Source organism: Homo sapiens, chromosome Y (assembly GCF_000001405.40).
Source record: "Homo sapiens chromosome Y, GRCh38.p14 Primary Assembly".
NCBI classification, from domain to species: domain Eukaryota; kingdom Metazoa; phylum Chordata; class Mammalia; order Primates; family Hominidae; genus Homo; species Homo sapiens.
In genome coordinates this window covers 13,318,521-13,333,377 of record NC_000024.10, presented here as the reverse complement: position 1 = coordinate 13,333,377, position 14,857 = coordinate 13,318,521, and the positions used below count along the sequence as shown (strand labels likewise).

Sequence of the window (14,857 nt, the reverse complement as noted above, 5' to 3'; positions counted from 1 at the left end):
TATCTGTTTTGGTACCGGTACTGTGCTTTCATTACTGTAGCCTGGTAGTATAGTTTGAAGTCAGGTAGTGCGATGCCCCCAGGTTTGTTCTTTTTGCTTAGGATTGTCTTAGTTATATGAGCTCTTTTTTTAATTCCATATGAAATTTAAAGTGGTTTTATCTAATTTGGTGAAGAAAGTCAATGGTAGCTTTATGGGTACAGCATTGAATCTATAAATTACTTTGGGCACGTCATTTTCACTATATTGGTTCTTCCTATCCATGAGCATGGACTGTTTTTCCATTTGTTTGTGTCCTCTCTTGTTTCCTGGACCACTGGTTTGTAGTTCTCCTTGAAGTGGTGCTCATAAGTTGTATTCATAGGTATTTAATTCTCTGTAGCAATTGTGAATGCGAGTTCATGCATGGTTTGGCTCTTTTTGTCTATGACTGGTGTATAGGAATGCTTGTGATTTTTGCACATTGATTTTGTATCCTGAGACTTTGCTGAAGTTGCATATCAGCTTATAAGCAGTTTTGGGGCTGAGATGATGGGGTTTTCTAAATATACAATCATGTCATCTGCAAACAGAGACAATTTGACTTCCTCTCTTCCTATATGAATACCCTTTATTTCCTTCTCTTGCCTGATTCCCCTGGCCACAACTTTGAATACTATGTTGAATAGGTATGGTGAGAGAGGGCATCCTTGTCTTGTAGTGGTTTTCAAAGGGAGTGCTTCTAGCTTTTGCACATTCCATATGATATTGGCTATGGGTTTGCCATAAATAGCTCTTATTGAGACATGTTCCATCAATACCTAGTTTATTGAGAATTTTTAGGATGAAGGGATGTTGAATTTTATTAAAGCCTTTTTTGCATATCTTGAAATAATCATGTGGGTTTTATCATAGATTCTGTTTATGTGATGGATTACGTTTATTGATTTGTGTTATGTTGAACCAGGCTTTCATCCCAGGAATGAAGCCAACTTGATTGTGGTGGATAAGCTTTTTGATGTGCTGCTGGATTTGGTTTGCCTGTATTGAAGATTTCTTCATCAATGTTCATCAGGGATATTGGCCGGATTTGTTTTGTTTTTTTCTTGTATCTCTGCCAGGTTTTGGTATCAGGATGATGCTGGCCTCATAAAGTGAGTTAGGGAGGAGTCCCTATTTTTTTATTGTGTGAAATAGTTTCAGAAGGAATAGTACCAGCTCCTTTTTGTACGTCTGGTAGAATTTGGCTGTGAATCCTGGCCCTTGGCCTTTTTTGATTGGTAGGCTATTTATCACAGCCTCAATTTCAGAATTTGTTATTGTTCCATTCAGAGATTGGAATTCTGCTGGTTTAGTCTTGAGAGACTGTATGTCTCCAGGAATTTATCCATTTCTTCAAAATTATCCTGAAGTGCTTTTTCCAACTTGGTTCCATTCTTTCCATCAATTCCAGGTACATCAGTCAATCATAGGTTTGGTCTTTTCACATAGTCCTGTTTTTTTTGAGGCTTTGTTCATTCCTTTTTATTCTTTTTTATCTAATAATGTCTTCACTCCTATTTCAGTAAGTTGATCTTCAATCTCTGATATCTTTCTTTCAATTGATCAGTTCAGCTGTTGATTCTTCTGTATGTTTCACAAAGTTCTCATGCTGTGTTTTTCAGCTCCATCAGGTCATTTATGTTCCTCTCTAAAAACTGGTTATTCTAGTTAGCATTTCCTGTAATCTTTTATCAAGGTTCTTTAACTCCTTTAGCTCAGATGAGTTTGTTATTAACCACCTTCTAAAACCTACTTCTGTCAAATTGTCAGTCTCATTTTCTGTCCAGTTCTGTGCCCTTGCTGGAGAAGAGTTGTGATCCTTTGGATAGAACAGGCATGCTGGTTTTTAGAATTTTCAGCATTTTTTGCACTGGTTTTTCCTCATCTTCGTGGATTTATCTGCCTTTGATCTTTGAGGCTGATGACCTTTGGGTGGGGCTTTTGTGTGAAGGTCCTTTTTATTGATGACGTTGTTTTTTCTTCTAACAGGCCCATCTTCTGCAGTGTTCTGGAGATTCACTCCAGACCCTTTTTGCCTGGGTATCAGGTGCAGGCTGCAGAACAGCAAAGATTGCTGCCTTTGTCCCAGAGGGGCACTGGCTTGATCCCAGCTGGATCAGTCCTGTGTGAGGTCTCTCCCAGTCAGGAGGCATAGGTGTCAGGGCCTCACCTGAGGAGGCAGTTTGTCCTATAGCAGTGCTTAAGCCTTGTGCTGAGAGAATCCTTTTTATCAGGATCAACTGCTCTCTTCAGAGCTGTCAGACACAAAAGTTTAAGCCCGTTGAAGCTGTGCCCACAGCCACCCCTTCCCCCAGGTGTTCTGTCCCAGGGAGATGAGAGTTTTATCTGAAAGCCCCTGAGTGGGGCAGCTGCCTCTCTTTCAGAGATGCCCTACCCAGTGAGGAGGAATCTTGAGAGGCAGTCTGGCCCCAGCCTCTTGGCTGCGCTGTGATGAATTCCACCCAATCCAAACCGCCTGGCCTCCTTAGCACTGCCAAAGGGAAAACTGCCTGCTGAAGCCCCAGGAAAGCAGATGCCTCTCCCTGTACCAAGCTTAGTCATTCCCAGGTTGACTTAAGACTGCTGTGCTGGCAGTGAGAATTTCAAGCCAGTAGATCTTAGTTTGCTGGGCATTGCTGAGTGAGACCACTTGGCTGCCTGGCTTCAGCTCCTTTTCCAGTGGAGTGAATGGTTCTGTTTCTCTTGGGTTTTGGGCACCAGTGGGGTGCAAAGAAAACTCCTGCAACTAGCTCCGTGTCTGCCCAAACAGCCGCTCAGTTTTGTGCTTGAAACCCAGGACCCTTGTGGTATAAGCACACGAGGGAATCTCCTCATCTGCGGATTGCAAAAACTGGTAAAATTATAATATCTGGGCCAGATAGCACAGTCCCTCATAGCTTCCCTTGGCTGAGGGAGGGAGGTCCCTGGGCTCTTTGCACTTCCTGAGTGGGGTGGTGCCCCCACCCTGCTTCTGTTTGCCCTCTGTGGGCTGCACCCACTGTCTTACCAGTCCCAGTGAGATAAACTGGGTACCTCAGTTGGAAATGCAGAAATCACCCTCTTTCTGTGTTGGTCTCGCTGGGAGCTGCCGACTGGAGCTGTTCCTATTTGGCCATTGTGGAAACACTGGTTTTATCTTATCACTGTATTAGATATGGAAAACATTTTTCTGTGAACTGCTTTATCTGCGAGATTATGTCTTTTTCTAGTGTTACAAACCTTTATTGGTTATTAGGATCATCAGTTTCTCTGTGATAAACCTCATTCTGGGAATTGAAAGACAATAAGGGAAGTCCTCACATAGGGAACAGCAAAGCCTGGAATATCCTATTGTTTGTTTCCTTTTTAGTTAGAGCTGTAGAATGTTAAGAGTAGGAATAGGCCTTACTGATTATTAAGGCTAGTCTTTGCTTACATTTTAGAAAACATTTTGTCAGAGTCTAGAAGTTACATAGTTTCAGGAGAGACAGGAAATGCACGGAGAATGCAGGCAGTCTGGTAAGACTTGCTATATTGTGCTACTGTTTTAAGCAATGGGGGTTCACATGTTTGTTTAAAAATTGGTTTTCATTCCCTTCCCTCAAAAAAGAATCAGGAACACTTTCTTTGATATTAAGCCAACACATCGATTACCTCAAAGAGCCTAATCCACCTTTTTAAAAAAACAGCTTTATTGAGATATAATTCACATACTATACGGTTTGGTCATGTAGTGTTTACAGTTCATTTGGTTTTAGCAGATTACCAGATGTGTGCAATCATTATCACAGTCAGTTTTACAGAGTTTGGACTGCCTCAAAGACAAACCTAACATAGACTTTAAACACAATAAAATTAAATCTTAATAAGTTATCTTAACTCTTATAAATGTTCTGTATAGAAGAGTATAAAATGTAAGTGAAAGTCATTTCGCATGCCTAAAACACATACTGTATTACTTCTATATTTTTAGTACCTAAACCTCGAAATTTTAACAATAATATATTGGTTTTATTAGATTCATAAAAGAGCTTTCTGAAATTAGATGCAAATTAACAGAAAATAAATAACCTATAACTAGACAATCTAAACATTATTTTTAATCTACTTTGGTCATTTTATTAAAAAGTTTTTAAACTTCAAATTTGAAAACAATTTTTGCTTCACGATTATATAACTCTTTTCCTCATACTGTGAGATCTTAAGATGTCACGTGTTTTTTCTCTATGACTGTATCTAAGCATTGATTAGACTCTCAGGCATTTAGATTATTTTATTAGAAACCATCGTGTGTCAGCCATTAAATGTATATTAACTGATCAGCGTCTAAGATGAAATCAAAATTTCTTGCTTGTATATAATTTATGATTGCGACAACCTTGGGGAGCAGTAATGGAGTAGTGATGATAATTTTTTTGCAAAATAATAATTAAATAAATTGATATGTTTTATATTTCTTAATGGACTATAGATTTTAATCTATCTCATTTTGAGGTGTATATAAACAATCACTTTATAATAAAATGCGTTCTTAAAGAGTTATTTTTGGGTTAGACAAGGTAAAAGGACTTTACCTTACCAGAAATGGATAATTTTATTTTTAAAAGCTGTAAATAGTGTATCTTTAAAATATTGTAAGTATCTGTGGCTGAAACACTATTCCAATAAATGTAGCTTCCAATTTGCTAGTGAAGGTAACATACCAAAAAGAAAATAAGAGAGAAATTAAGAAAGAAAAAGAAAACAATCACAGAAAGAAAGAGAATAAAAGGATGGATTCTAAAGTTGGGAATAAAATTATTCTGAGTTGTAGAGAAAAAGCCAGAATGAGAAATGATAGTTTCTATGTGCACACCAATTCAGTCAGTTGATAATAGCATCCATTCTGGGGAGAAAACTGAATTCAAATAAATTAAGTGATATCATGTGTTAGTGATTGAATCATGACTCTTCTGCTCATGCCTCATCTTTTTCTTTCTTTTTTCACATTTAGGTATCTATATTTTCCATTGCTTTAGCTTCCTATATATCCACTGTTTTTTCTTTTATAGACTGTAGAAATTACAACAACAGAATTCTACAGTAAATCCCAATTTCTTAGTCTTATTGTTTTGTTGTTGTTGTTGTTGTTTTTGTTTTGTTTTGTTTTTCAGACAGAGTTTCGTTCTTGTCAGCCAGGCTGGAGTGCAATGGCACTGTCTCGGCTCACTGCAACCTCTGCCTCCCAGGTTCAAGTGATTTTCCCGCCTCAGCCTCCCATGTAGCTGGGATTGCAGGCCACCGCCACCACACCCACCTAATTTTGTATTTTTAGTAGAGATGGGGTTTCTACATCGTGGTCAGGCTGGTCCCAAACTCCCAACCTCAGGTCATCCGCCCACCTCTGCCTCCCAAAGTGCTGGGATTACGGGCGTGAGCCACCGCACCCTGCATAGTCTCTTTTTTTACGGAGGTGGTTGTTCAAATAATTTTTGATACTACAAGAAATTAACATAAAGAAATTTCTAGTACAATTAAATACTTCACCAAATTTAGTACAATTAAGTACTGGTATAGTGAGAATACTTGAATTGTCTCTTCACAAAGTATATTCTATGTGTTTAAAACAGAAATTCTAAGGAGTTTATGAATTAGGTTCAGTTCCGTATTTAAGTTTTAAAGCTTAACATGTATCATTTATAACTAAACCTATGGGTCATTATGCTTTGTGGAGAGAGACTGAAATCTAGATACTACTTTAGAATGTAATAGGTAGTTAAATGTAAATGTTTAATAGATATTTGCACATTTTTTATTTAAAAAATAGAGAAGTCAAATTTCTAACCTAATTCATAACTTAAAAATGCATAAGACCTTTTTAGTTGTTTAAAAAGGTTATACACCCTAACAGCTGTTTACTATGACATCTTAAAAGTGTATATGTTGCATTTCAAAGTTTCATTTTTATTAGTCCAACCACAGAGGCATGACTTGAAAGTTTTTTTCTGTGTAGGAAAATAAAGCAAAACAAGCTTTTGCTTCAGCTTTTATTATTCTATATATTGAAATAAAAACATAATTGATTCTGAAATAAATGCGGTTACTGATGTAATGTATTTTTTACTTTCCAAAACAGAGTTTTCAGATTTTTGTCTGAAATATTAACATTTTTAAGAGCTCATTCCTTTGATATTTTAATGCATTGATTATTTTAGAATTTTAATAATTAGGTGAGACAGCTTGAATAATTTGAAAGGCTTGCCAATTTTCTGAATTTGTTAAAATATTAAGGTTTAGGAATATACTTCTTATTTGCATACTAAAAGAAGAATTGGATTATGGAAGTAATTTTACCATATTTTAAGAATTTATATTAATAATTTAACAAATACTATACCTTTCATTAAAGGAAAAATCCAAATACTGTTAAGTAATGATTATGAACAGTGTGACAACACAGAGCAACTACACACTTCACTTAAAATTATAAGATGTGAAAGTTTAGTAAATGGAATCTCATTATTTGCTAATTCCACAGAAAACAAGTCTTGAGGATGAAACTAATGAGCTTTCTGGATTTGAAAGTTGTCACAATGGTATTCTAGAAATAATTACTAAGATGCAGTGTCAGAAAGGAGATATACTATGATATTAAGGATACGTAAATCACTTCTTGATCAACTGTTTTATCATTTTATGGAGAACATTTAACGGTGGCACATGTTGGAGAGAAATTTGAGTTTATATTAATGTTTGATATGAGAAAGCAAATTGGAAAATGAATAACGAGGAATTTTGTCAACACTTTATGTACTCTGTAGTGTATTTTGTTTAGCTCATGCACTCTGTGTAGTATATTTTGTTTAGCTTTTATAACACATCTGCTGAAATTTAATAGTCCTCAATTTTTTGTTTAATGGATCTGAATATCTTACACTGTTTGTATTTTAGTGAATGCCTTATGCCTGACTTTTAATTCAGATTTTCTTTTTTTTCTAGTTTTAAAATAAATATGTAACTGATACATTTCTTCTGCTTCTTTTTAAAGGAATCCAGGTAAAAATGGCTTGTCTAATAGCTGCATTTTGTTAGATAAATGTCCACCTCCAAGACCACCAACTTCACCATACCCACCCTTGCCAAAGGACAAGTTGAATCCACCCACACCTAGTATTTACGTGAGTCCGCATTGAGTAACTTATAAATAAATCGAGAGTCTGAACTAATGTGTCTTGTAGAAAATCGATGTATTCTTTAAATCAAGCCAGATTGCCTTAGGGAGCATAGACTTTACTCTCAAAGGTTTAATATTTCAGAAGAACATGTTTATATTTCAGGGCACTTAACAAATGAATGCTCTTACTCGAAGTGCTGCCCACCAACCTGCTTTTGAAAATAAAATTCTATTGGAACATAACTATGCTTATTTATTTAGTTACTGTCTTTATGATTGCATTTGCAGTACATTGACAGAGTTTGCTAAAGAGACTAGGTTGCCCATAAAGCCAAAAATATTTATTATCTGGCCTTTGACAGAAAAGGTTCTTGACCACCAGATATGCAAACAGATTTTGTCTAGAAAAATTAAGGCCTTCTCAAATATTGACTGGGATTATATGAGAGTAGCAAAAGATAATTGTTCCAGGGTAAGCTTTTAGTAAACATGGTTCTAAATCTGAATTCTGACACTGCTAGTTATGTATACCTGTTGAATGTTACATTTCTTTAATAAAGGAATTTTTTTCTAGCTTCATAAAAACTGGTTGAGGATATAAAAGTGATTATGAATACATGTTATTTAAAAGTTTTACATAAATACATGTGGGTATAAAATTTCCATTGGAATTTAAGTGGCTTTTTTTACTATTTAGCAACGTAAGCATTTGATAAAGCTGCTGTGGCTTTCATCAAAATAATTTTTATGTATTTTTCCTTCTGAAGAGTTTGTGTCACCCAACTTTTTCATTCTCCTTCACAAGTTAAAGAATCTTAACCTAAAATATGAAGATACAGTAATTAGAATGATCTCGAAACAGATCTGTACGAGAGGATTTTGGAGATACTGGCCTTTCTTTGGACAGATGTTCAATATTAATTTTTTACCTAGTTGAAATTTATTGACGATGGTATTAGAAGAGTCATGGAAGAGAGACTAAAAATAAGCGTTTCAGTTGAAACTTTGAGGCAATAAATACAAATTTAAGGTTTGCCTGTTGTGGTTTTTATTCTCTAAAAGTTTTGTTAATAGTTTATAAAACAGTTTGATTTTAAACTTTAAATGTCTCTTCTACCTGTTGTCTCATTTAAGAAGCAATAGAAGATAACTCAAAAAATATGCTTGGGAAATACTTTCGAACAACTCAACTAATTTAAAAGAATTTTATAAATCACTGTGGTATAAGAGATAGGTAACAGTTTTAAAGTGAATCAAATTTAAAATGTAATTTTTAAAAGAGAGGGTTTTTTTTAGCTATTACCTCCACACTTTCCTGACAAGACAAATGATACAATACTGTAATATGTAGCAACATAATATCAAAGGTTAGGATGCACTGCAGATTTTTAATAGCCAGATTGATGGAAAAAAACTCACAAATTTGAAGTATTGTATTTAATCATTTTATTAAAGGCACAAATCTGAGGTATATTTTGTCATTTATCTGAGACCTAACAAAATATTTTGCTTTTACAGTTGGAAAATAAACGTGATGCTTTCTTTCCTCCATTACATCAATTTTGTACAAATCCAAAAAACCCTGTTACAGTAATACGTGGCCTTGCTGGAGCTCTTAAATTAGGTAAGCTTAAAACCAAGATTGAATATATATTTTACTATCTTTAAACTTTTATAACACTGACAGAAACTCACTGATTTTTTCCCCCAACATTCTGAGTCTTTATTTTAATGTGTGTTATCTTTCTTTCTCACTCAATTTTATACCTCTTGTGCATGAGCAAGCATCTTTAGCACTGATGCAAGTGATAATATAGATATCATATACAGATATATACGGATAATAACAGATATACATTTAGCTCAGTAAACAGAGGAGTGACTTTGAATAGAATGGAGGCAGGTTTGCCCTAAGCAGTACCCAGTTTGACCTTTCCCTTTAGGATAGTGATTTCAGGTACCCAAGATATTTTCCTTTCACATTTCCCCTTTTTAAAAAAAAAAAAACTTTTGGAGAAAGCACTTGAAGAAAATGAGTCTCCGGTGTCAGGTTTTGTCTGATCTTTCATGCTAGGATGGTTTATCCCTATTATGAAAAATACTCAGCAATACTAGACTCTAGCAACAGGTTTACTATTGTTTTTGAAACATAATATTGTGGTGGATTTTTATTTTAGATTTATATTTGGTATCATTATCCAACATACAATATTTAGGTTACATAGTTGAAGAAGTTCTGAGTATTAAATATAAGTAAAATTAGATTATGTTTATAAATGTTGCCACCCTCTACACCCTGACATGATGGTTATATAGCCAGAGCTTCAAGGACCTGCTGTGTAACTCTGATACCAAATGGTTGGAGCCCTCTTAAGGGAAACTGATAAAGTTTTTAAAAATACTTTGACATTTTAATTGAACTGAATACAACTTTACTGATTAACAAAACTTATTATTTTTAAAGATCTTGGACTTTTCTCTACCAAAACTTTGGTAGAAGCTAACAATGAACATATGGTAGAAGTGAGGACACAGTTGCTGCAACCAGCAGATGAAAACTGGGATCCCACTGGAACAAAGAAAATCTGGCGTTGTGAAAGCAATAGATCTCATACTACAATTGCCAAATACGCACAATACCAGGCTTCCTCCTTCCAGGAATCATTGAGAGTAAGTTTTTCTTTCTTCCTTTTTTAATTGTTGCTATTTTTTAATAGTGCATATTACTTTCATAATTATTGTCTAGTGCATACTGTTAATAGTATGTTTTTAAAGTGCTCATAGATTATTAAACTTTTATTTTATTTTATTATTTTTTATTGTTTTTGAGACAGAGTCTCATTCTCTCTCACCCAGGCTGGAATGCAATGGTGTGATCTCAGCTCACTGCAGCCTCCGCCTCCTGGGTTCAAGCGATTCTCCCACCTCAGCCTCCCGAATAGCTGGAATTACAGGCACCTGCCATCATGCCCAACTAATTTTTGTATTTTTGTAGAGACAGGGTTTCACCATGTTGGCCAGGCTTGTCTTGAACTCCTGACCTCAGGTGGTCTGCTTGCCTCAGCATCCCAAAGTGCTGGGATTACAGGTGTGAGCCACCATGCCCGGTAAACTTTTAAAAATGTAAGCAAAATTACAGTATGTAAAACACACATTGCTAATGGAGAAATAAAGTTCCTACTTTACATCTACCTTATTTTTGGAATTTTTTATTTTAATGATAAACTAAGCCTACTTACTGTTTGCAGAATGATACTTAATATGAAGAAAATTATCTGGTCAGCTCAGGTATTTACTCAGCCATGAAGAGATGTTCATATTTTACTTTATCTGGATAATTTTTCTTTGGAAGCATTAGCAGTCTTCCTCTATTACTTGTCATCTCTAAAACAATTGTAGAAGAAATTTACAGAAATGTGTCAAAAATACATGGAAAATTGAAAAACAGTATCTTAAACAGGACAGTGGTTAGTAAAACACCTAATAGTAAATGAGGAGAAACAGAATTGTTAGAAATAAGAGTTTTTGAATTTTTTCAAAAAAATTAAGAAAATAGTTAAGCATATGCAACCACAATTATATTTCTCAAATATTTGTTTGAATTGTTTGTTCTTAATATGGCCCCTTTAAATTACAAATTTGGCCAGGTGCAATGGCTCATGCCTGTAAAACCACCAATTTGGGAGGCTGAGGCAGGCGGATCACTTGGGGTCAGGAGTTCAAGACCGGCCTAGCCAACATGGTAAAACCCATCTCTACAAAAATACAAAAATTAGCCCTGTGTGGTGGCGGGTGCCTGTATTCCAAGCTGCTCTTAAGTCTGAGGGAGGAGAATCACTTGAAACCAGGAGGCAGAGGTTGCAGTGAACTGAGATTGTGCCACTGCACTCCAGCCTGGTTGACAGAGTGAGACTTCATCTCAAAAAAAGAAAATAAATGAAATTATAAAATCGAACTGCATTTTACTATATCAGATGAAAGAATGTAGAAAACTAACTTTTTTATAAAGCTGTTCCTTAAAACTTAATGAAAGTTTTATGGCTGAAAAATATGTTGTTGAAAGTTTCAAATTTATAATTTGTTAATATCATTGACCTCCAGAAAATGTTTAAAATTCTGACCTCATTTTATGTTTTCATCACATTGATATCACAGGAATCTGATTCTGCTGTGAAAATAGTATATTTTTAGGATTTTTTATTATATGGTAAACAGAAAAGTAATGATTTAACAATTTTTGTTAAATTCCGTGGCATTGGTTATTCATGTTATTGTGCAGCCAAAACCACTATGCATCTGGAGCACCTTTTTATCATCTGAAACTGAAACTCTGACCCCATGAAACAATAACTCATCATTAGTTAATGAACCATGAAAATCTGAGACAGGTCTCAGATAATTTAGAAAGTTTATTTTGCCAAGGTTGAGGATGTGTTCATGTGACACAGCCTCCAGAAGTCCTGACGACATTTCCCCAAGGTGGTCAGAGCACAGTTTGATTTTACATTTTAGGGAGACATAAGACATTAATCAACATATATAAGATGAACATTGGTTCAGTCCAGAAAGGTGGGACAACTCAAAGTAGTGAGGGGTCTTCCAGGCCACAGGTAGGTAAGAGACAAATGGTTGTATTCTTTTGAGTTTATGATTAGCCTCTCCAAAGGAGGCAATCAGGTGTACATTTGGCTCAGTAAATAGAGGGGTGACTTTAAATAGAATGGAGGCAGGTTTGCCCTAAACAGTACCCAGCTTGACCTTTCCCTTTAGCATAGTGATTTCACGTACCCAAGATATTTTCCTTTCACATTTCCCTCATTAAAAACAAAAAATATTTTGGAGAAAGCATTTCAGAAGAAAATGAGTCTCTGGTGTCAGGTTTTGTCTGATCTTTCATGGCTAGGATGGTTTATTCCTATTTAAAAATTTGGCAATACTAGACTCTAGCAACAGGTTTACTATCGTTTTTGAAACATTTTTTCTTTCTCCAATTTCCCATTAAAGACAAATCATGGTAGGATCTATTTTCTTTATTCTATTTGGCGATATTATTTGTATAAAGTGCCACAAGAATAGTTATTTTTCCAATAGGCTTCTTTTTTTAATTGGCTTTGACGGAACTTTGTTTCATAGAAGTAGTCTCAGCTAAGACTTTTTTAAAGCTGAGCCCAGCCTTGCATTTGTGCTATTAATACCTATGAGTTGGTTGAATTCCTCTACTCTTGATTTTCCAAGATAATATTGGGGCTCCTAGGCCTGTCAGAAAGTGACATTCTTTACTTACCACAGGACAGTAACTCTCTACAGGGACCATGCAGAAAAAGGTATGAGGCCAGATTTCCCAAGGGAATTTTATTGACTCCATAAGTCACATTTGACTCCTTTAAGGAAAGCACACCATTTCAGTCAAAGCCTTGGTAAAATAACCAGTTTCTTCCATTGTGTCCTCTTAACAATGAAAACATTTTTATTTCACTTATGCAAATAATTGTATTGCCATAATTGTTAAGAATACTTTCAAATAGTTTTCAAATTTTGGAGAAATCAGAAACAAATTTGCTGCAAATTTTCTTCATAAGAGTACTCAATTGTTAACTTGAAAGTTTTCTTGACTCTGAGAAACAAAGGATCAGCAACATTTTAAGCAAAGAGTTTAAAAGATTACTTCGAATTCTATTAGTTTAGTCCATGCAGGTAATTCCTGTTCTGCTTGATATTCACAAACATTTCAGCTCTCCATGAATCCTGAAAGTTTTTTCTGTATTCTCATGTCACAGTCTCCAAGTTATCAGAAACTTGCATTCAAGAGCACCTGTTAGAGTTTATAGCTGATTATAAAACAACCTTCTAAAGAGGACCAAATAAAGACAACAATTGTCTGTGGATGACTAAAAGTTTTAGAGCAGTCATAGTCAAAGACACAATTGACAAGAAAATGTGTTATCTCTGTGGCACACAATAATTTAACATAACTATTATAAGTGTTACTAATAATGTACATTTACACATAACAGAATTATAGGAGTTTCCCATAATTTTGGAACACCATAACAAATGCAGCCCCAAGAAAGCCAAGCACCATTTTATATTTGACAATGCTTCCTATAGAATTCTTACGCCAAATAAGCCAAATATGTCGTTTTTGGATGTTAGGAAACCTATTAATATTTTAAAGGACTAATTAGGTCAGAAAAAGACAGAAGTTATCATTTGATATTGGAAAATTTGTCAGATATTAAAGATTTAAAGTACTTGATATTACAAAATAGGATCAGAGGTCATTGTAAAATAAATCATTAATTTAACCAGAGTGATAACTCAATAATTTTTTTAAAAAAAAGGTGAAACCTTCATTATTTGATTGAGGATACTTAACTTTACAAACAATGAGCCCTTATAAAAACAGCATGAAACCAATTAAATTTGTTATCCAAAATTTTATAAACAATCTGTATAATTTTCATTTTGATCTTGTTATAAATTCCATACTCCTTTATAATCTTTCTTAAGGAGATGGTTAATGCTTCAAGAAATCCTTGTTAATCTGACATAGGGCACATATGCTAGTCTTGTATCAGTGTGTCTTTGACATTAATGGTTAATTTATACAGGAACTGAGTTTCTCTTATCTTTCAAAATTGTCCCTTAAAATCTCACATACCTCTTTTGCAATAGTCCTTGGGCCTTCAGGAGTTGAATAGCTTTAATTTCTGGACCTGTTTCTCAGGAATGCAGTTTATTTTGGTTGGCATCTTTTACCAGCTTGAAGATGAGGCTTCAGTGTTTAAGCCTCAGCAGGACTCTGTTTTTAGACCAGGAGTCAAAGCTCTATAACTCAACATCACAAAGACTTTAAAAGCACATACAGCAAGATACAAGGACATATAACCTTAATTTAAAGAAACTTGTTTCTAATCTCAGTTTTTCCTAAGCAAACCAAACTTAATAATAATGGCATAGGAATTATTTTGATAAAATGTAAACTCTGTTAGGCCAGTTACCAAAAGGCAAAAGAAACGACCTCTGTTCCTGTCACAGAATATTCTGTTGGAAAAAAACATTTTCTTTAGATCTTTAAGAATACATTGTTAGCATCAGACCACAACAAACAGAACCCTCAGAAGAAAATTTCAGAAGAAAAACAAACTTGTCTGAGCTGAAAATGAATTGAAGGGGAGTATTACTATTATGTGCCTTTGTTGTTGGTGTTGGTGGTGGTGGTTGAGATGGAGTTTCACTCTGTCCCCAGGCTGCAGTGTGATGGCATGATCTCAGCTCACTGCAATCTCTACCTCCCAGGTTCAATTTTTCTGCCTCAGCCAGTCGAGTAGCTGAGACTACAGGCATGCACCATCACACCCAGCTAATTTTTATATTTTTACCTGAGATGGGGCTTCACATGGTGGCAGGATGGTCTTGATCTCTTAACCTCGTGATCCGCCCGCCTCAGCCTCCCAAAGTGCTGTGATTATAGGTGTAAGCTACTGCGCCTAGCCTAATTTTGCCTTTTAAAAGGGGATAGAAAACCAAAACAAGCAAGATGCAATAGAAGTTGAACTTTGAGTTAAAAATCTCTTATAATTTATTAAGAGTAAGTCAACCCCTTATGAAAATTTCATTGTTTTACAAACCAATCCTTTAATGTATAAGTGTTTTTTGTTTTTTTATATCAAACCCAATCTCTAGAAAGACCATTGTAATTTC

General features: G+C 35.0%; 1 protein-coding gene across 123 annotated transcripts in view; it reads left to right on the top strand.

Annotated features, from left to right (window-relative positions):
- The window catches only part of UTY (ubiquitously transcribed tetratricopeptide repeat containing, Y-linked), a 246,776-nt gene that overhangs the window by 147,293 nt on the left and 84,626 nt on the right, over nt 1–14,857 (top strand). For 108 of the 123 annotated variants that reach the window (NR_174404.1, NR_047613.1, NR_047627.1 and 105 more), the window contains 3 exons: nt 7,028–7,157; nt 8,672–8,777; nt 9,618–9,823. Coding sequence is in view for 67 of the 123 variants with exons in the window: in XM_011531448.4 (XP_011529750.1) it covers nt 7,028–7,157; nt 8,672–8,777; nt 9,618–9,823 (442 nt within the window). In the remaining 56 variants the exon portion in view is untranslated. Of the gene's footprint in view, nt 1–7,027; nt 7,158–8,671; nt 8,778–9,617; nt 9,824–10,009; nt 10,345–14,857 lie in introns of those variants that run through there. The other 15 variants (NM_182660.1, XM_047442757.1, XM_011531460.4 and 12 more) reach the window with 3 other exon arrangements.